Raw genomic sequence first — 23,472 nt, 5'->3', positions numbered from 1 at the left:
TTGTGTCTCAAATTACTTTTTAGCAGAATAAACTAGGAATAAATATTACAAAAATATCTACGGAATATGGAAAAAACATAGAAAGTTTATGAAATATATGAATGTAGACATAAGCAAATAGACAATTTGTATCATATTCTTAGGCAGAAAAACTCAATATTATCAACATCAATTGTCCTTATAGTTATTTATAAATTCAATTTTGTTCCTATACTGATACCATTAAATATTGCAAGTACACGTTACTATAAAATGTTATATAGATGAAAACACAAACAAGAATAGACAAGAAAACTCTGAAAAAAAAAAAAACCACTGGCAAGCCCTGTGTAAAATCTTGATTGATTAAAAAACTCATGGATCACTGAAACTAAAAATTCAGAAATAAACCAAAGTGTCTAAGAAAGTGTCATAGTGCATCTTGGCTGCTATACCAAAATACCTTAGACTGGGTAAAGGATAAATAAGAGAAATGTATTTTTCACAGTTATGGAGTCTGGAAAGTGCAAGATCAAGGCAGCAGCAAATTTCGTATATGGTGAGAGCCCTATTCCCCATAGATGGTACCATCTCGCACATGGGACAAGGGCATTCCCTTCAACTTCCTTTGAAAGAGCACTGATTCCATTCATGAAGATGAAGAACTCTTGGCTTCACCACTTTCCCAAAGGCCTCACGCCTAAAATTATACACATGAATTTGAAAGGGGACATAAACATTCAGGCCATAGCAATAAAAACTACATGGGTGATGGCATCATTTATACATGAGGTGTAAAAATGTGATGTTCTTATCACAAAGGAAATAAATGATTTATTCTTCATGGCATATATCAAAATGAAGGTCCAATGAAAATATTTTTTATGAAGATAAATCTATATGGCAAAAAATTAAGTATTGATAAGTTTAACCCTACAGGTTGCATCAGGATTTTCAAGGTTTCCAGGGATGAGCAAGGCCCTGGAGTTTCCTCCTGTGACATTTTCCTGAAAGTTGCTCATGCTGTTATTCAATTTGAAAGTAGATAATATTGTTTGTTTCTCTTCCAATATTTACTAAATTCAAAATAATATAGGGCTCTTTACTCATAATTCTCAAACAATCATTCAGTCAGTGGGGCTCTGCTGAGGAAGAGCACAGACACATCCACACAAGTATAATGTTCCTCAAATAGAGGACTTCTCCTTGTGCTGGAGCCACCTATGTTGCACTCGATCAGAGGCTTTCCCAGGATAGCATTTCTCTGCAGCCCTACCTCAGTCTTAACCCTGAAAATCCCACTCAGAAGGCGACGGATGAACACCCACCCTAGCATTCTAATCTAATGGATCCTCTCTTAACAATCCCTTCCAGGGATCTGGGATCTTTCCTGGATTCGTCGGCCACACACACCTAGGCTCAAAAATTTGGACAGAAACTTTGATCCTCATTGGCCCTCCTGCCCTGTCCTACCAGCTTCTCTAGAAGTATGCTTCTCTAATTGCTCCTTAGAGACACTATCTAAGGGTATCAACCTGTGCCAATATAATTGATCTCATAAAGTGAGAAGGGAAATAGGCAAGAGTCCAGCTAGCCTAGAAGCAGTGTCTAGGGTTCCTTACCTGATTTATGTCTCTGATTTACCTAAATATTGACAAATACAGATTCACCTCTAGGCAGTAGAAAAACAGAAGGAGAAATCCCAGTTCGTAGAGGAAGAAGAAAATGCAATCAATGCTGTCTAGAGTCCCGCTTAAGCTCAGCCACAGGGTACTAAGTCTCTTCAGGAAAAAGCAATTGTTGTCCATCATCTGAAAAACTGTGGCCTGGAACCATGGGCACCGAGAGTGCACACTGCCCACTAGAGTTCCATGCCTACATCACGGAGAGATAGAATAGTCTCAAAGGATTCTTAAGAGTAATGTGGGGACCAAAAGGAGATGAATCCACAGCCTCTGCCTTACCGTCTGATCTAACTAATAGTATTTCCAGACCTTTCTGTGGGCTGCACCAGGGGTTGTTCAGAAAGAAAAAAAGTTGTTAATGTCCCACCGTTTCCCGTAGCTTCCGAGGTCTGTGTTGTTCATACCCCAGGTTCCAGGTTGTTCTCCCACTACTTCCACAGAATCAGTGTGTCTCATTCCGGTACCTATAATCTCATCTTTATTCTAGTCGCCCTCTACTTTTTTCTAGACACTTTATCTACTAGAGCCAGGTAAAATAGAGACAAGAATATTTACATAAAACTTAGCTGGAACTAAGTTGGAGTCCCATAACTGCTACTAGGCTGAGATGCAACTCAGAGGATACAAAAGCCAGGCTTGCCTAGAATTGCAGTTATGGGAAAGAAAGTCACATTTCACCCAGGAATTATTAGCACGAAATTCCAAGTTTGTGAAATAGATTCCTAGATGATTCCTAGATCCCCCAAACATTTCATCCTTATCTTGGAGGCAATCAGGAAGAGAAAATAAACCATACCTAATCAACAAATTATCTAACCAGCATGTGTGGAAAAGGAGGGAACATCATAGAGTTGGCTTGTTTTAGTACGTGTGGTGAAAAATGCCGCGAAGTCAGAGCTCAATTGGTCTCAAAAGCCTAAAAGATGGCACAGATTAGCTTCACGGGACACATGGTATGGATGGTGTCGGCATACTGTTATGCTGAAGATGTCAAGAGTGGTGACTGATATCTCAAGAAGTGGGCCAAAAGTCCACTTCTGGTTACTCTGCTTGGTATGGTCTAGGAATTCTTCAACCATGAGACAAATAGGTCAACTTTCACCAGCAACCCCAAGTCTGGTTTGCAGTATTAGACTCTGCGTTAGACACAGATTTAGGTTCAATCTGCAGCTTGATTGTTGTCACTCTCTAGAAAACAAACCCTTACCATGGACTTCTAGATGAGTGATCCAGTTAGATCAGCATCTGAGATTGTCTCCAGTTTGCAGCCCAAAAGATATTCAGACAGTCTACAGTTTCCATTGTAGATAACCAAACAGATAGAATATGTGCCATTATCCCAAACCCTGAGTTCTGACCTTTGAGAGGAGCAACCACTCATGTCAGGTTCTGTATGGCTGGCACAGGTTAAACAGCCACAGCAGCCCAGTGGACATCATGAGGTTTCACCTTCCCTGACTCATCTATGAACCAGGACCAGTCATATAGGAAACACTCAGTAAATTGGGGGCCCCACAGAGACAGCATCTTTGCTTCAGAGGATAGAAGGAGGCATAAAATTTCAACCAGCTGGGGATGCTCTAGCCCTCTATGGGTGAAACTGAGTTTGTCAGGAGTTCTGCAGCAAGCTCTTAGCTGACTTTCAAATCAGTGTAACCAGTAGTGTGTCACTGAGTCCAAAAGCCCAAAGAACACCTCTGGGAGGAGGCTAGTCCTTTACTAGAGGCTCCAAATGCCAAAATCAAGATTTTCTTGACCTCAGGATGAATTGATCAATGCAAATCTCCCCAAATATTTTCACTAAACCTTAATTGGAAAGTAAGACTCCAGATTTTTTAACTCTCACTAAACATAAATATCTGATTTTTTCACCTGAGATCTATGTATGTGTGTTGGAGCATGCCTTTACCAATCAGCATAAAGTTACATCTCTCCTTGAGCCTCTACTTTCTACTTGTGCAGAGTTTAAAATGCAGAGGTGAGAGCTTAGGGTTTTCTGGGTCTTTTGCTAAGCATGTACCTGACCTTGAGCATCCCCAATTCCCCATTTCCTTCTTGATCCCAAAGACCGTTATCACAGTCTTAATTCCCAGCAGCTTTTCCTCCTAGAGCTTTTTGACATGATTATTCTTAGACCCAACTGATATCCTTCGTTCCTGGTAGACTGCGTAGCTCATTTCCATTTAAATGCTTTTAGAAATATTAAACTATGGATTTAAGATTTATCTGCTTTTTAAATTAAGTAATGCTGCTCTTAGCCTTCCACAGGACTTGAGGGTTATAAAAAAAAAGGAAGAAAATAATTATTTTATACCAATAGTATGAAAAAGAGACTGGGAATGACTATATTAATAGCAGACAAAATAGACTTAAAAACTTAAAAGAGACAATAAGACATTATATAGTCATAGATTGTCCATTTGGCAGGAAGATAGAAATAGTTTAAACCCATACCTAATAATAAAACATTGAGATATAGAAAGCATAACTTGACAGAATTAAAGGGGCAAAAAGGCAGTTCTAAAATAATAGTTGAAGATGTTAATACTCCACTCTGAGTAATGAATAGAAAAATGAGATAGATGATAAATTAGGAAATAGAGTTCTTGAATAACTCAATGAACCAAATTGATCTAACAGATATATACAATATACTCCATCCAACAAAAGAGACTACACACTCTTCTCAAATGCACATGGGGATTTCCCCACGATGGGCTGTGTAGTAGATCTCAAATTAAATCAATAACAGAAGAAACGTTAGAAAGTTTACAAAACTGTATAAATTAAACAACATACCCTTAAACAACAAATAAGTAAAGGAAGAAATCACAGAGGAAGTTGGAACATACTTACAGAGGAAGAAAAATGAAAACAAAACACATCAAAAGTTAAGGGAAACAGCAAAAAGAGTGCTAAGATGTAAAGTTTGCAGCTAAAATGCATTTAAAAAGAACAAAGATTTCAAATAAATAATAACTTTATCACCTAGTAAATTAGAAAAATAACACCAAATTAGATGCAAAGCAAAGAGAAAGAAGAAAATATTAAAGCTTTTAGCAGAGATAAATGCAATGGAGATTATACAAACCACAGAATTCCAAAAAACCAAAAGTTCATTCTCACTTCTTCAAAAAATTAACAATTGGCAAACTTTCAGCTACACACACAAAAAATTAACAGCATATTCACATACTAAAATGAGAAATGAAAGTGGGACATTACTACTAATTCAAAGAATTAAAATGTTTAAAAAACTGTACTGTGAACTATGATAGGATGATAAATTGGAAAACGTAGATAAAGTGGGCAGATTCCTAGGTATACAAGACTTGATTACAAAGAAATACAAAATCTGAATAGATACAAAACTACTAAGGAAATGGAATCAGTAATTAAAAGCCTCTTCATAAAGAAAAGCCCTTATTTTGTTGGCTTCACTAGTGATTTAGATCAAGCATTTATAGAACAAAAATCCTTTCCAAAGTCTACCAAAAGCCTGAAGAGAGCAGTTCCAAACTTATTCCATGAAGCCACCATTAGCTCATACCGAAGCCAGACAAAGATACTACAAAAACCCATAGACTAATATCCCTTATGAACACGGATGCAAAACTAGTCAGCAACATCCTAGCTAACTACATTCAGCAGCATACTAGCAAGATTACAACCCATGACCAAGGGGAGTTTATTATTGGAATGAAAGGAAGTTTTAGCATATGGGTGGTTTCAGTGCAGTGGTGTTTACAAATAATTGATCACAACCAGTATAGATTTCTTTATTCTTTTTCCAGTCTCACTGGTTCACTTAGCTAGCCTTTCTTAACAAAAGTTTAAGCATATGAAAATTAATCAATGCATATGCCACATTGACAAACTTTTTAAAAAGTATTCTCTCATTAATACAGATAACGTATTTTACAAAATTCAAAATATTTTATAATAAAAACAATAAATTAGGAATAAAAGGAAACCAGCTTTGTAAAATTCACATATAAAAACCCACAGCAAACAACATATTCCAGAGGAAAAGATCAAAAGTGTTTCCTCTAAGCTCCGAAGACAGAGTGAATATCTGCTCTTGCTAGCCACTTTTATTCAACACTGTATTAGAAGTTTCATTCAGAGAAATTAAAAAAGACAATGAAATAAACTGCATCAAAATGTGTACAGAAAATATATTCTTATATGTAGAAAATCTTTAAGATTCCACCAAAAAATATTACAACTAATAAATTCAGCTGAATAGTAGCATACAAAATCAACATACAAAAACAAACTGCATTTTATGTAGTAACATGAATAATCTGAGAAGAAAACTCTGAAAACAATTCAATTTACAATAGTATCAAAAGAATAAAGTAGTTAGGAAGTAACGAAGAAGTAAAATGCCAATTACTCTTGTGTAGATATTAAAAAATCAATTTTTAAGTTTATGGGGAATCTCAAAGATCTTTAAATTGCAAAAATAATTTTGAAAAAAATACCAAAGTTAGACAAGTCACACTTAATGATTTCAAGACTTACTACAAAATTCCAAAATAGCATGCTACAAAGAGACTAATGGAGTAATATAGAAGGCCCATATAAATAAACCCTCATATATAAGGTCAAATGATTTTTATGGGAAATGAACTGCCTTTACAACAATTAGTGCTGGGGAAATTGGGTGCCCACATGTAAAAGAGTGAAGCTGGGCCCTTAACTTCTACTATAAGAAAAAATTAACTAACTGGATCAAAGACCTAAATGTAAGAGCTAAAACTACAAAATTCTTAGTATAAAATGTAGGTAAAACACGTCATAAGGCTGGATTTCGCAGTGATTTCTTTTAACAGGACACCAAAAATGCAAGAAACAAAAGAAAAATAGATAAAGAGGACTCTATCCAGAATATACAAAGAACAATTCAGCAATAATAAACTACTTGTTTAAAATATGGGCAAAATACTTAAACAGATATTTCTCTAAAAATTATGTGAAGTGGCTTATAAGCCCATGAAAAGGTACTCAACAAAACCTTTTCATTTTCATTAGTAAAATGAAAATCTAACCCCAAATGACATATCACTTAATGCACATCAGCATAACTAGTACAAAAAGAAAAAAAAAACAGAAAATCACAAGTGTTGGTGAGGAAGTGGAGCAGTTAGAACCCTTGTACACTTGGTGGAAATGTAAAATGCTGCAGCTGCTATAAAACAACACCATAGTAACGAAATAATTTACACTCAAAATCACCGTATGATCCAGCAATTTCACATCTTGGTATGTTGCAAAAGATGTGAAAGCGAAGACACAAAATAATACACGTACACCTAAGCTCATAGCAGCATGACTCACATCACTCAAAAGGTTTTTGAATTACCTGTGTTGTTTGAATTATCATCAATGAATAAATAGATAAAATGTGATTTATACATACAGTGGGATATTATTCAGTTATGAAAAATAAGGAAATTCTGACACATGGTACGTCATGCATGAACCTTAAGGACATTGTGCAAAGTGACATGAGCCAGTCATAAAAGGACAAATACTGTATCATTCCACTTATGAGATACTTAGAGTAGTTAAATTCTGGAAACCCACGTAGAAGAGTGGTTCCTAGGAGCTGGAGGGGGAGTAACAGGGAGCTGTTATTTAATGTGTATTGAATTTTGGTTTGGAAGTTGAAAAAAGATCCTTATGAATGGGAATAATAGTTGCAAAACAATGTGAGTGTAGTTAATTTCTCTGAGCTGAACACTTAAAATAGTTAAGATGGTTAATTTTATGTATACTTTGCCAAAATGTAAAAAATATTTTTTAAATAAACAAACTATAGCTATCTGCAATAGCATGAATTAATATCATAAATATAAAGTTGCCTAGAAGAAAGTAGATGTAAAAGTATACATATTATATAATTTCACTTATATAAAATCCAGAAAGTGAACACAACTGAGGTTCTGGTTTCCAGTAATAATGAAGTAGACTAGTTCGTTGAATAACTATTTCACAGATAACAATAATAAAGCTTAATAAAATACTATATTTTGCTATATAGAAAGGCACACTGTTTAGAAGACTGAATGAAGATTTTATCTATGCCACTGTGGAAGAGATAAGGATTGGGGTTTGAATCTATTCAAATTAACTCCCTCTTAAAATAATAATTTTCAAAGAAATACAACAGAATCCAGAGTCCCTGTAGTTCCTATCACACAATTTAAAAATTCATGAGATGTGTGAAGAAGCATGAAAGTGTAATCGATTCACAAGATAAAAAGCAGACAATAGAACCTATTCTCAAGATGTGCAAGATGCTGTAATCAGTAGATAAGATTTGAAAGAAGCTATGGTAAGTACGTTCATGGGGGTAAAAGAAAACAGTCTCATGACAAGTGAACAGAAGCGTAACTGTACATTTCATGCGCGTCCGTGTGAAGAGACCACCAAACAGGCTGTGTGTGAGCAACATGGCTGTTTATTTCACCTGGGTGCACGCGGGCTGCGTCCGAAAAGAGAGTCAGCGAAGGGAGATAAGGGTGGAGCCGTTTTATAGGATTTGGGTAGGTAAAGGAAAATTACAGTCAAAGGGGGTTTGTTCTCTGGCGGGCAGGAGTGGGGGTCGCAAGATGCTCAGTGGGGGTGCTTTTTGAGCCAGGATGAGCCAGGAAAAGGACTCTCACAAGATAATGTCATCAGTTAAGGCAAGGACCGGCCATTTACACTTCTTTTATGGTGGAATGTCATCAGTTAAGGTGGGGCAGGGCATATTCACTTATTTTGTGATTCTTCAGTTACTTCAGGCCATCTGGGCGTATACGTGCAAGTCACGGGGGATGCGATGGCTTGGCTTGGTCTCAGAGGCCTGACATACACTCCCAGTCTTTTGGTCACAGGGCTGTGGGACTGAGGAGGGAAATTAAAGAAAAATAAAATTAAAAAGAAAGAGAAATAAATTTTCTTGTATTGGGCTGACTTGTCCCAGAGGCTTCAACAGGCACAGCCCAGAACCAGGAATAGTCTTGATAATATTATCTAATGTGCTCTGGAGGCTCTCCCAACGCTCCCCCAACATCGGGAAAAGAAAAACAAATTTCCTTTTTTTACGGAATGAGTTTATAGATTCTTGTTCTCTGTAACTAGTGACTTCAAGTATTCTGTTTTATCTAAGAAGTACAATGTAAGTCATGAGAAGCCTGAGTAGGCTGAACTACAGCTGTTTGGGCACCATAGTGAGGGTTATAGGATAAGCCCATGCCCAGGGAAACCTAGAAAATGGACATGTGGGTTGCTTGGCAACGGTCATGTGCAATCCTGTCTGTCCTGCCTCTGTATCCCTGCTTTCACGCCACTGTAAACTTGCTTCAAGCTAGCCCACCACCTTTTGTGAAATGTGCATAAAAGTCAGGTTCTGTCTTTGTTCCGGGCCCAGTCTTTTTGATGTGAGTTAGCTTGTCCTCAGTTTCATGGGGGTCCGTGTGAAGAGACCACCAAACAGGCTTCGTGTAAGCAATAAAAGCTTTTAATCACCTGGGTGCAGGCAGGCTGAGTCCGAAAAGAGAGTCAGCAAACGTAGATAGGGATGGGGCCATTTTATAGGATTTGGGTAGGTAAAGGAAAAAGGGGGATTGTTCTCTGGCGGGCAGGAGTGGGGGGGTCACAAGGTACTCAGTCGGGGAGCTTTTGAGCCAGGATGAGCCAGGAGAAGGAATTTCACAAGACAATGTCATCAGTTAAGGCAGGAACAGGCCATTTTCACTTCTTTTGTGGTGGAATGTCATCAGTTAAAACAAGAACCGGCCATCTGGATGTGTACGTGCAGGTCACAGAAGGTACGATGGCTTAGCTTAGGCTCAGAGGCCTGACACTGAGTGCACTCAATAAAAATTCTCCTGTTTCAACCCGGGGTCTCTCTCATCCTCCTGAATCCCGCAACGGGAGAATTCCAGCATGCACCAGGTTCACGGGACAGTGCGCGGTCACTGAAAGAAGAGTGGGGCGGGGAGGGTGGTGTGCGGCTGTGAGCACCTCTTGTGCTTGCTGGGAGATGTAGTCTTATAAAGACTCCCAGCCCTTTGGTCACAGGGCTGCAGCACCCCAATTCCAGCATACACCGGAATCAGAGACAGTGCGCGCCGGCAGAGGAAGAGGTAGAGCTGTGCGTGACTCGCTGGGCTTGATGGAAAATGTAATCTCATGAACACTCCTTAATGAACAGTGCGCCTCACTGGAGGAAAAGGCGGGGCTGTGCAGGCCTTGCTTTGCTTGCTGAGAGATGCTGTCTCATAAACACTCCCAGCCCTTTGGTCACAGGGCTGCAGGACTACATTCCCATCATGCACCGGGATCAGGGATAGTGCATGTGCCTGGGTGAAGAGACACAGTTTTGCGCGCCTCCTTTGGCTTCCTGGGAGATGTAGTTTCATAAAGACACCCAGACTTTTCATTACAGGGCAGCAGGACTACAATCCCAGTATGCACCAAGATCAAGGATAGTGCGCGTAACTGCAGAATGAGGCGGGATTGTGCACGCCTCGCTGGACTTGGTGGGATATGTATTCTCATAAACATACCCAACCCTTTGGTCATAGGGCGGGAAGACTACAATCCCAGCATGCACCTGGCTAAGAGACAGTGCCTGTCACTGGAGGAAGAGGCGGAAGACTACAATCCCAGCCAGCACCGGGCTCAGGGAAATTGTGCGTCAGTGGAGGAAGAGGCGGGGTTGTGTGCTACTCGCCAGGCTTGCTGGGAGTTGTATTCTCATAAAACCTCCCAGCCCTTTCATCACAGGCCTGAAGGACTACACTTCCAGCCCCAGCATGCACTGGGCTCAGGGACAGCGCGCGTCACTGGAGGAAGAGGGAGGGCTTTGCGCTTCTAGCTGTGATTTTTTGGGAGATGTAGTCTCATTAACGCTCCCAGCCCTTTGGTCACAGAGATCCAGGACTGCAATCCCAACATGCACCCAGCTCAGGGATAGTGCGCTAATCACTGCAGGAAGAGGCAGGGCTGTGTGCACCTCCTGGGCGTACTGGGAGATGTATTCTCATAAACACTCCCATCCCTTTGGTCATAAGGCTGCAGGACTACAATCCTAGCATGCACCCAGCTCAGTGACAGTGCGCTAGTCTAAGGAGAAAGAGGCAGGGCAGTGTGCGCCTTGCTGGGCTTCCTGGGAGATGTAGTCCCATGGCCTCTCCCTGCCCTATGGTCACAGTGCTATAAGACTACAATCCCAGCATGCACGGGGCTCAGGGAGAGTCCACATCACTGCAGAAAGAGGGGCAGGTTGTGCGCACCTCGCTGCGTTTGCTGGGAGATGTTGTTTCATAAAGACTCTCAGACCTTTTGTCACAGGGCTACAGGACTACAATCCCAGGATGCATCGGGATCAAAGCAGTATGCGACACGGGGAAAAGATGCGGAGCTGTGTGCGTCTCCCTAGGTCTTCTGGGAGATGTGGTCTCTTGGCCCTTTGGTCACAGGGCTGCAGGACTACAATGCCAGCATGCAGCGGGTTCATGGACAGTGTGTATCACTGGAGGAAGACGTGGAGCTGTGCGTGCCTCGCTGGGCTTGCAGGGAGATGCAGTCTCATAACTACCCCAGTCGTTTGGTCGCAGGGCTGCAGCAGTACAATTTCAGCATATCTCTGGCTCAGGGAGAGTGCACTAGTCACTGGAGGAAGAGGTAGGTCTGTGCGCACCTCTCTGGGCTTGCTGGGAGAGGTAGTCTCATAAACACTACCAGCCCTTTCATCACATCGCTGTAGGACTACAATTCCAGCATGCACGGGGCGCCGGGGCAGTCCGCCTCACTGGAGGAAGAGAAAGGCGTGTGAGCGCCTTGCTGGGCTTTCTGGGAGATGTTGTCTCTTTATTTCTCCCAGCCCTTTGGTCACAGGGCTTCAGGACTACAATCCCAGCATGCATCCTGCTCAGGGACAACGCGCGTCACTGTAGGAAGAGGTGGACCTGTGCTGTTCTCGCTATGCTTTTTGGGATACGTATTCTCGTAAACACTCCCAGCCCTTTGGTCACTGGGCTGCATCACTACAATCCCAGCATACATCGGGATCAGGGAGAGTGCGCTAATCAGTGGAGAAAGGGGCGAGGCTCTGCACACCTCGCTGGTCTTGCTGGGAGATGCAGTCTCATAAACACTCCCAGCCCTTTGGTCACTGGGCTGCAGCGCTACAATCCTAGCATGGACCGGGCGCAGGGAATGTGCGCGTCACTGGAGGAAGAGGCAGGGTTGTGCACGCCTCTCTGGGCTTGGTGGGAGTTGCAGTCTCATAAACACTCCCAGACCTCTCATCACCGGGCTGCAGGACTACAATCCCAGCATGCACCCGGCTCAGGGAGAGTGCGCATTACTGGAGGAAAAGTCTAGGATGTGGATGCCTCCTTCTGCTTGCTGGGAGATGTAGTTTCATAAAGACTACCAGAACTTGTGTCACAGGGCTGCAGGACTACCATCCCATTATGCACTGGGGTCAGGGACACGGCCCGTCAGTGGAGAAAGAGGCGGGGCTGTGTGCGTCTCCCTCGGCTTGCTGGGAGATGTATTCTTATAAACACTCCCAGCCCTTTGGTCAAAGGGCTACAGGACTACAATCCCAGCATGTGCCAGTCTCGGGGGCGAGGTACAGGCCTGGAAGAAGGGGCCGAGTGGTACACGCCCTACCTAATATGCTGGGAGCTGTAGTCTGTTAACTGCTCTCAGCCTGTTTGTCGGTAGGCTTCAGAACTATAATCACAGCATGTACCGGGACCCGGGGTGCATAGCCCTGGAGGGAGGGGCAGAGCGGTGTGGACTTCCCGGTGTCCAAAGCACTGCTGAGTTCTTATGCTATGCCGACTCTTTGCCAAGGAGAATGAGTACATAGGTGGACCTAGAGGACAGGTCTGCGCTGAGCATTGAGGAGGGTATTACCCTACATAGGCACCTTACCTTTGCCCAAATCGGGCGGGTTGTCCTCAACTGATTGGCCCTATCCTTCTCAAGTTCCTCTTTCAGCTGCACCCAGGGTTCTTCCCAGAGCATTGCGCCTTCTGCAGCCCAGGGCGCTGCCTTCTTTCCTAAACTGCTGTGGAAACTGTCCTGATGTCTGAGACACTGTCCATTGTGCCGCAGCCCTCTTTTTTCTCTAGCCAAGCCTCATGCTCAACAGCTTTTGAGAGAAATCTTCCACGTGGCCTGCTTATGAACAGCTTCAGAATTCTGTAGGGGGTGACAAGGTCTGTGGCTTCCTGGAAATGTCACTGTCAATGGCGCCTTTTTCACGAATGTGAAAGTTGAGGCATCAGGAAGGTTAATTATTGGGTTGCACAAAATCTGCTAAGAGCAAAGGAGAAAACCCCATTTCCGAGGCATGAGTCTTGTGAGCCATTTTCATCAACCCATTTAAGTGGACAAGCTCCAAAATGAAACCTGAAGCTGCTGACTATTTAGGCATTTTACACTTGAAATCATCGGTCTCATCTCAAGTCACTCCTGACTTGCCAGTGTCTCAGAAACACAAATGGGACCGGATCCCTCAGGAGCAGATAGTGTTCCAGCTTTGTTGGAGCGACATTTAAGATGTGGAGCACTTGGGGTCGTTTGAAACCCGCTATCTTCAGTAGGGACTTTTACTTCTAGAGAACATGTGCATTTTGATTTTATCTGTCCTCAAACTGAACTTTTGCTCATTTTAATAGTAAAAACACATTCCTAGGTGGAGACTTAAGATGCTAATGAGACATGCAATGTATGCACAAATATGTACAGTTAGTGCACATGTGCACCCAGAAGACCACTCAAAACATGCTTACACTAACACTTCTTTCCACCTTCTTATGAATAATCGTGCAAAACCCCCAGAAGGAGGGTTTCTCCAGTAACAATTAATGGTGTCTCACTCTTATGAGCAGCCTGCCCTGGAATCTCTTTCTCAGAATGTACCGTCTATTCTGCACTTAATTTTCAAAGTAGTCTTTTCTTTTTTTGTGTGCAATAAATTACTCTATGCTGTACTTCTTTTGCTGTGTGTTTCTTGTTTGAATTCTTTTAAACTAAGAAAATAAGAATCAAGGTATTACATCAGCCATCAACATTTCTTTTGCCATGGCCTGGAGAGAGGTCTGTCCGCTTCACTGATTTCACTTTCCCTTTACTTGCCGTGAATACTGTGGCACTTCCAGACTACCTGGTTAACTATCGCTGGTTCTTCCAGCACTGTTTCACTAAAGTTCTGGGGAAACCCTGTCCCTTTAGGCTTTATGCATTTCCCAGCTCCTTGAAATTGTTCTTCAACAGGCTTTCTTTGCTGAACAAAAGATGCACAGTCATGGATAGGCCCAGTCATAGGGATTGAATCTGAGCATTGCAGGTGTTATAATTGGGCATCATAAATGGCAAACCACTGAATTAGGGAAAGGCTTGTCAGCCAGACATCTGCCCCCCAGCGAGCAGTGGGGGTCATCTCGGCAGGGCTGGAGATGTCCAGCGCTGGTGAGAGCTAGGACGGTGCATGGCAAATGCCTATGACCTCCTAGAGCTTCAGTTAATGGGGTTTCAAGGGGATGAGTTGGACAACTTGGTGGTTCCACTTGGCTCATGGGGCTGCCCACAGCCTCCTGGACTTTAGTACATGTTCTGTCGTTTGCAGGATTCTCTCGGCACCATGGGAATCACTTCCTCTACTGTCACTGAAACACACCTGGGATGTATATTTAAAAATTGAAACAGCTTTTGGCTAAATGAAGCAAAAAAACAATTATCTTCTTTTGTAAAACTATTTAGCCTGCATACAGATTAGCTGACAAAACATGGCTGGAGAATGAGACTGTGAAATTTAACACCATCATACAGCTAGATCTTTTCTGTAGTAATCAGGGAAAATGGTCTGAAGTATCCTATGTGCAAGACTTTCTGGCCCGACAACAAAACCCAGCTCCATGCAGCACCTGTGGGCTAAAGCCTAGTAAGCCACAAAGCCCCTCAGATCCAGTAGAAGATCATTTGTTTTATGGACAAGTGACCCCAGACCCCACAGCCTAATACCAGCTCCAGATAGGGGCCCTCAGAGGCCTACACCTGCTTTAGAATCCCCAGCGTCCCCACACTATCAGAGTCTTCTGTAGAATCTAAGCTTGTTTCACCTCCTCCTTATGCTCCTCTATCAGCCTTTGCCAGTTACAATAGAGACCAGTCCAGCTGCAGTTACTCACAGTGGAGCTTCACACCATGCAGGGCCAGAGAATTTGATCCGCTTACAGAAAGTCTCAAATGGAGAGAGGACCATCAGAGTGCTTCTTCTCTTCCCAGTAAATGATCTAATCCAATGTAAGCAACAGCTCTGATGGCTCTCAGACAACTTCAGCGCGTTTACTGAAGCCTTCCAGTCTCTAACTTTGACCACCATTCAACTTTACCATCCATAAATGGACCCAATGACTGCTGCCAACTCAGCTGCACAAAACTTTTTCTTATTTGCGAAAAATAGAAAAGACTTAAAACTTTTGCTGCTTTCACCATTTTAAAGCAGAATACTTTTGCAGCACAAATGTCACCATAAGGTGGAGCCTTGGGAATCCAGTATAAACTATCTCAGAAAATCTCAGTGTGTCCCCAACAGGCAGCAGAGGGCCTCAATAGACTTCAACAACATCTGGACTCCATGGCCACTGCATTCCAACAAAATCAAAGAGCCTGGGATCTTCTCCCAGCCAAGCAAAGAGGAACATGTTTATATCTAAAAGAAGAATGCTGTTTTTTGAGATCAATCATTCTGGTTTATTCCAAGAAAATATTAATAATATCATCACCCAGGCAGACAAAATTGAATCTCTAGGAACTTCCATGGGAACATGAAAGCAATGTCCATTGCCTGCCTTGCTCTCTTTAATAGTACCCGTCATTATTATATTTTCAACTTCTACTTTTGTTCCAATTTTGTTTAAAATGTTAACTGATTTCCTGCTATGTTGCTTGTGGCAGCTCCATGTTTGCATGATGGTTTGCAAGGCTTTCAATCTTTGGCTGCCAACATCTTCCCACTGGTTCCACGAATGACATGGTTTACACCCTGTTAGATCACACAGGAAGAAACTTTAAGGCCCAGGCTAGGCAGAAGTAACACCCACTCAGCAGGAAACAGCTCCAGAAAAAGTGGTCTAACCCCTCAACCTCCAATATGGTTATTGCCCTAAAATCTCTTAGGGGGAAATTGAGGCAGAATAGATAGTACAGAAAATGACCATGATCTCAGGATACAGAAACCATGGTGACTGTACAGCCAACACAATAAGCCGTAGCATTCGCATTGTAATTGGGCTTATTCGAGCAAAGCTATCCTCATTAAGGACTTTCTGTTCTAGAGAGCATGTGTATTTTGATTTCACCTGCCCTCAAACTTAAATTTTGCTTATTTTAATAGCAAACAATGCACCCCCTAGCCAGGCACGGTGGCTTATACCTCTACTCTCAGCACTTTGGGAGGCTGAGGAAGATGGATCACTTCAAACTAGAAGCTCGAGACTAAACTGGCCAACATAGAGAAACCCCGTCTAAATTAAAAATACAAAAATTAGCAGGGTATGATGGTGCATGCCTGTAATCCCAGATACTCAGGAGGCAGAGGCACGAGCATGGCTTGAACTCAGGAGGCAGAGGTTGCAGTGAGCAGAGATCACACCACTGCACCCCAGCTTGGGCAACACGGCGAGACTCTGTCTCAAACAAACAAACAAACAAACACACAGAAATACACTCCTGGGTGGAAATATAAGATGCTAACGAGACATGCAACATATGAACAAGCATGTACAGCTACTGCGCATATGCACCCAGAATACCACAGAGAACATGTTTACTAGCAACTCCTCTTCCCTCCTCCTTATTAATAATAATGTAAAACTGCCATAAAGGGGTTTCTCCAGCGACAGTCCACGCTGTCTCACTCTTATGAGCAGTCAGCCCTGGAGTATCTCTCTCAGGGTGTACTGTATTCTGCACTTAACTTTCAAATATTTTCTTTTCCAATAAATTATGCTGTACTTTTTTTCTTTGTGTCTCTTGTTTAAATTCTTAAAATCTAGGAAGACAAGAACAGAGGTATCACATCAGTTGTCAACACAGCAATAAGTCAGCCTCCTTCTTGTAAGCATAGCCCATGCAGAAAAGGAGAGTCGCATCACCTCGGTGCTGGATCCAGAGGTATGTCACAATTTATCCCATGCACAAAGTTAAGGTCATTGAGGAGAGTCGTATTAAATAATTTCTGGGCCCAGGGATTTGTCACAACAGCTCCTGTGAGAAGAGATCAGGCAGCATAATCACATAACCGGTGTGCTGGACACAGCGATAAGCCACCTTTCATCTGTGGGCATGACCCAGGCAAGAAAGAAGAGTCACGGCATTTAGGTGCTTGCTGCAGAGGTACGTAACAATCTCTCTTATGGGCAAAGCTCAGGTAAGAGAGAAGAGTCAAATATCCAAGGTGATTCATGTAGAAATTTGTCACAAGAGACTTTTTAGGCAGGGCCCATGTTGGATCTTCTTATCTTCCAGAAGTTAGGTACAGGGATATGTCAGAATACCCAAAATACACAGGGCTCAGTCAATAAAGAAGAGCCACATCACCCAGGTGCTGGGTCTAGACATATGTCACATCTCTTTTATGGGGAAAGCTCAGGTAAAAAAGGAAGGTCATATCAAATAGTTGATAGACCCAGAGATATGTCACATTGCCTCCTGCTTGAAGTGTCTAGGCCAAAGACTCACATCACATTGGTGCTAGGCCTGTGTTCATATATAAACATTCAACCAGAGTTAAAATGGTGGCCCACATCTAAACTCAGCTCATAGGCAAGGGATGAGTCTCCTATCCTGACATAGTTAATTGTAATGATGTTGACTCTCATCCCTGGGCCTAATGCTACAAGTATGATCATGGGTCCCTACCATTAGGAAGGTCTCAAAGTTGATTACGACTCTCATGCATACTGTATAGGGCCATTGGGTAGTACACAGAGCGTGCTAACTGGGCCGAGCACACAGGTGAGATTGTCACACTCATATGCACACCCAGCCAACAGTAACTATTGTCATCCTCTCACGGGAACACAGGTCAGTCTGCAGAGGAATTGAGGCTGTCATGCGCAAATCCAGTCTGGTGTTGAGATGGTTACTCTTGGGCTTAGACCCAACATACAGGAGGTGTTGAATGTCATGCCTACCACTGAGACAGCTGTGGGATTGTTAATCTAATTCCTGGACCATTCTGCAGCTTCCATTGTGAAATTTCCCAGTGCCTAGCACCTAAGTGACTTGACGGGCTCGCATGGACCCAGCCCACAGATGGGATATTAACATATTGCTGGATCCAGCACATTGAGGATGTAACTCTATTCTCCTTCCTTGGCACTGCCCACAGTGAGCAGTTTGACATATCGCTAGACCTTACACCCAGGTGATGTGAGTCTCCTCTTCTGCCTTGGCGCTGCCCTCAGGAAGCGTTGTTATATATAGCTTGGCCTCGCATCCAGGTTATGTGACTCTCCGGCTTGTGCACTGCCCATATGGGACACTGTGTTAATATTGCTGGGTCCACTACTCAGGCTATGTAACCCAACAGCCTGGGCCCTGCCTTACAGGGGCATTGTGACATATCTCTGTGCTCATCAGCCAGGTGATGTGATTCTCTTCTCCTGCCTGGTCCCTTTACACAGAAGGGATTGTGACACGTTGCTGGGCTTAGCACCAAGTTGATGTTGATGTGAATCTTCTGCCTGGATCGAGTTCACAGAAGGCATCGTGACATACTTCTGGGTGCATCACCTATTTGATGCAACTCTCCTCTCTTACCAGAGCATTGCCCATAAGAGAGATTGTGACATATCCCTGGGTCTAGCACTGGGATGATGTGAATTCTCCCTGCCTGGGGCATGCCCACAGAAGGAAGTGTGACTTATAACTGGGCACAGCACAGGGGTGATGTGATTCTTCTGCCTGGTCCCTACCTACAGGAGTCATTGTCAAATGTCTCTGGGCCCATCATCTAGACTATGTGACTCTCTACTTCTTCCTAGGGCCTGCTCACATAAGGATTGTGACATATTACATGCCCTTCATCATGTGACTTTTCTCTCATGTCTGGGCTCTGTCTTGGAGATGAATGTGACACATAGCTAGGCCTAGCCCCTAGGTTCTGTAACTTCTCGTTTTTCAAAATCCTACCCACCAGGGGCATTGAAACATCTCTCTGGGCACTTCACTTAGGTAATGTTGCCCTGTTGCCTGGAGCCTCCCCTCTGGGGGGTATGGTGACATATTGCTGGACACAGTACCTATGTGATATTCTCTCCTTTCTTGCCTGGGCCTTGTATACATTATGTATTCTAATATATGGCTGGGTTCAATGACTAGGTGATGCAACTCTTATGCATAGACCCTACCCACAGGGACATTATGACATTTCTTTAGCTCTGACTCTCCTCTTTTTCCTTAGCCCTGCCAAAAAGGGAGGTGGTGACATATAACTGGACCTAGCAACCAGCTAATATGAGTCTCCTCTTTTGCCTGCACCCAGCATATTTTAGGTGTTGTATCATATCCTTTGTCTCAACACCTGCAGGATGAAAGGCTCCTGCCTGAGCCCAGCCATCTGTCAAAATTGTCATTCTCCCACACGAACATGGACCATAATTGAGGTTCTGAAACTCACACCCAGAGGCAGTCAAAAGTTGGAAAATTGGCTCTTAAAAGTGGATGTTGTCCTTAAGTGGGTTTGTGACTCCCTGACCAAGATCCAAAACACTTGTGAGGCTGTGAATCCACTAAGATAACTCCGTTTTCAAAAGGGATTAAGGCTCTCATGGAAAAAACCCATTCCTCCATTGAGATTGTGACTTATGCACATAGATGCAACATACAGGAGGCGTTCACTCTCATACCCAGAACCGGAACTTATGTGGGATTGTTAATCTCATCCATGGACCTTCCTGCAGGTGTGATTCTGACGTACACCTCTAGCCAGCTCCTGAGTGATTTGACATTTTTGCCTGGGTGTAGCCCACAGATGAGATTGTGATATATCCTTGAATCCAGCATCTAATTAATATGCTTCTATTCTCCTGTCTTGGCACTGCCCATAATGGGTATCCTGACCTAACACTGGTCCTGGCACTTTGTTATGTGACTCTGTCCTGTGCTTTGCCCACATGAGCCATTGTGACATATTGCTGGGTCCAACACCCAGGTGATGTAACTCTTGTCTAGACTTTGCCTACAGGGGGCATTGTGACATATCTCTACACTGACCACCCAGGTGATGGCACTCACTTCTCCTGACTGCTACCTGTTTATAGCAGGGATTGTTACAAATCGTTGCGGGCAGACTCTAGGTAATGTGACTGTCTTTTTACAGAGTGCTACCCACAGGAGCCATTGCAAAATATCTGTGGGCCTCTCACCTAAATGTAGTGACTCTTTGCCTGGGCTCATTTCTCAGGGGTATTGTGACATATGGCTGACCTCAGCACCGAGGTGAACTGAGTTTCTTCTACTGTAGGGCTCTGACCAAAGAGAGATTACAATGTATCACCGGGCCCAGCACCTGAGCTATTTGACTGTCCGCTCTTGGCTGCGCCCTACATTTATTGTGTATTGTGACATATCACTGGGTCCAACACGTAGGTAAGGTGACTCACCTGCATGGGCCATTTCCCCATGGGTACTATGAAGTATTTTTTGTTCATCACTTAGGTGATGCAACTCTCCTCTTTGCCTTGGGCCCCACATAATTTAGCTATTGTGATGTATCACTGTGCGAATCACCTAGTCAATAGGAAGCTTCTACCAAGACCCTGACTACTGAGGGCCTTGTGACATAGCTCTGCATTTATCACCTAGAAAATATGATCCCCCCCCATTTCTGCCTGAACCCTGCTCACAAGAAAAATTGTAGCATATTTCTGGGCCCAGCAAACAGGTGATGTGTTTCACCTGCCTGTGCTTAGTTCACAGGGAAAATTGTGACATATCACTGGGCCCAGAACCCAGGTGAGGTGACTCTGCTGCATGTGTCGTGCTTTCAGGAGGGAACAAGAACATATCCCTGGCAGAACTCTTAGGGATGTGACTCTCTTGCCTTGTCCCTGTCCTCAGGGAAGACTGCAACATGTCCCTGACACAGACCCAGGTGATGAGACTGTCCTGCTTCTGACTACCCAAATGTGAGATTGTCACATATATTTTGGCTTAGCATGTAGGTGTGACGATGACATTCATACCTTAAACCAACCAATAGCAGAGATACTTTCTCTCACAGCCAGGCTTAACAAAACTTGCAAAATTATGGGTCTTCTCTTACTATGAAGGTCAGAGAAAGTAAGCACTCTTGCATATCCTGTAAAGCACTCAGATGGTACAGTGTCATCACAGGGCCCAGAACACAGGTGAGATTGTGTTCTCTGTGTGCACACCCACCAATCATCAGAATTCTCATTCCTACACAGGAACAGAGGTGATTAGGGAGGTCTAAACCTCATACCTGAATGCCGTCCACAGTTGGAATTGTAACTATCATTTGTGAACATCCAGTCACAGTGGGGATAGTGACTTATTTCTGAACCCAGTTTACAGCCAAGTAAAGATCCTCTTATCTGGATCCAGCCAGCTGGAGAGATGTTGACTCTCATACCTGGACTTATGGCCACAGGTATGATCATAGGTTCATATCAGCATGAAGACCTCAGAGTGGATTATGTTTAATGCATACTCTACAAGGCCCACAGGAGGTACATAGTGTCCTAACAGGGCCCAGCAAACAGGTGAGATTCTAACACTCATGCACACTCTGGTGACAATAAAAGTTGCCATCCTCAAAAATGGGCACAACCGGCGTGGCTCAGTGGCTCACACCTGTAATCGCAGCACTTTGGGAAGCCGAGGCGGACAGATCATGAGATCAGGAGATCAAGACCATCCTGGCCAACATGGTGAAACCACGTCTCTCTACTATTTATGATTATGATTATGATTATGATTATGATTATGATTATGATTATTATTTTGAGACAGAGTCTTGCTCTGTCACCCAGACTGGAGTGCAGTGGCACCATCTAGGCTTACTGCAACATCCGCCTCCCGGGTTCAAACAATTCTCTTGTTTCAGCTTCCCGAGTAGCAGGGAGTACAGGCTCATGCCACCATTCCCAGCTAATTTTTGTGTTTTTAGTGGAGACGGGGTTTCACCATATTGATTAGGCTGGTCTCAAACTCCTGACCTCAGGTGATCCACCCAACTCGACCTCCCAAAGTGCTGGGATTACAGGCATGGGACACTGTGCCTGTCCACCCCATCTCTACTAAAAATACAAAAATTAGCTGAGCGTCATGGCACATACCTGCAATCCCAGCTACTCGGGAAGCTGAGGCAAGAGAGTTGCTTGAACCCAGGAGGCAGAGGTTTCAGAGAGCCGAGATCGCCCCACTGCACTCCAGCCTGGCGATAGAGTGAGACTCCGTCTCAAGGGACCGAAAGAAGAAAGAAAGAAAGAAAGAAAGAAAGAAAGAAAGAAAGAAAGAAAGAAAGAAAGAAAGAAAGAGAGAGAGAAAGAAAGAAAGAAAGGAAGGAAGGAAGGAAGGAAGGAAGGAAGGAAGGAAAAGAAAGAAAGAAAGAAAGAGAAAGAAAGAAAGGAAAAGAAAGAATGAAAGAAGAAAGAAAGAGAAAGAAGGAAGGAAGGAAGAAAGAAAGAAAAAGAAAGAAAGAAAGAAGAAAGAAAGAAAAAAGAAAGAAAGAAAGAAAGAAAGAAAGAAAGAAAGAAAGAAAGAAAGAAAGAAAGAAAGAGAAAATTGACTCTCATATATGGATCTTGTCCACAGGTAGGTGGGTGACTCTCAAACCAAAATTCATTACATCTGTGAGACTGTAACTCTCCTAAGGGGAGAAGTTCTTCTCAGCCAGAGAAGACTCATTTATGAATCCAGTTCACTGTTGAGATTGGGACTGTTGTACCTAGGCCAAACATACAAATTCTCATACCTGGAATCCGGACATGTGTGGAGTTGTTCATCTCATCCCTGTCGCTTTCTGCAGGTGGGATTGTGACATACATCTCTGCCCAGCTCCTGAGTGTTTTAGCTCTGTTTCCTGTGTCCAGCTCACAGATGGGATTCTGATATATCACTGAAGCCAGCACCTAAATGATGTGACTCTTATCTCCTGCCTTGGTGCTGCCCACAGGGGACATTGGGACATATCACTTGGCCTTGCACCTAGGTAATGTATGTTTTCTGCCTTGCATTAGTGCTACTCACAGGGGTGTTGTGATGTATTGCTGGGTCCCACATCCATGTTATGTGACTCTTCTGCCTGTGCCCAGTCCACAATGGCCATTTTGACATATTGTTGCATCCAAAACCTAGATGATTTACCTCTCCTTCCTGAGCTTTGCCTAAGGGGACATTGTGAAATATCTATGAGCCCATCACCCATGTGGCGTGATTTTCTTCTCCTGCCTAGTCCCTGCTTAAAGAAAGGATTGTGACATATCACTGTGCCCAGCACCTATCTCATGTTACTCTTCTTTTGTTTTTTAGGATTTGTTTGGAAGGAGATTGTGATACATTGGTGGGTCCAACTTCTCAGTGACATTACTCTGTTGACTGTGCTCTGCAAGCAGAAAGCACTGTGACACATTATTGGGCCCAACACCAAGGTGAGTCTCCTGCCTGAAGCCTGCCTACAGCAATTTGTAACATATGGCATTGGGACATATCTCTGAGCCCATCAACTATTTGACAAGATTCTCCTTTTTTAACAAAG

At 43.2% G+C, this 23,472-nt stretch overlaps 1 pseudogene; it reads left to right on the top strand.

Annotated features, from left to right (window-relative positions):
* The first annotated feature begins 2,008 nt into the window (after nt 1–2,008).
* The window catches only part of CTBP2P9 (CTBP2 pseudogene 9), a 44,659-nt pseudogene continuing 23,195 nt past the window's right edge, over nt 2,009–23,472 (top strand).

Source organism: Homo sapiens, chromosome 21 (genome assembly GCF_000001405.40).
Source record: "Homo sapiens chromosome 21, GRCh38.p14 Primary Assembly".
Taxonomy (NCBI): domain Eukaryota; kingdom Metazoa; phylum Chordata; class Mammalia; order Primates; family Hominidae; genus Homo; species Homo sapiens.
Note: the sequence above shows the minus strand (reverse complement) of the source record. Positions and strands in the feature narration are given on the sequence as shown.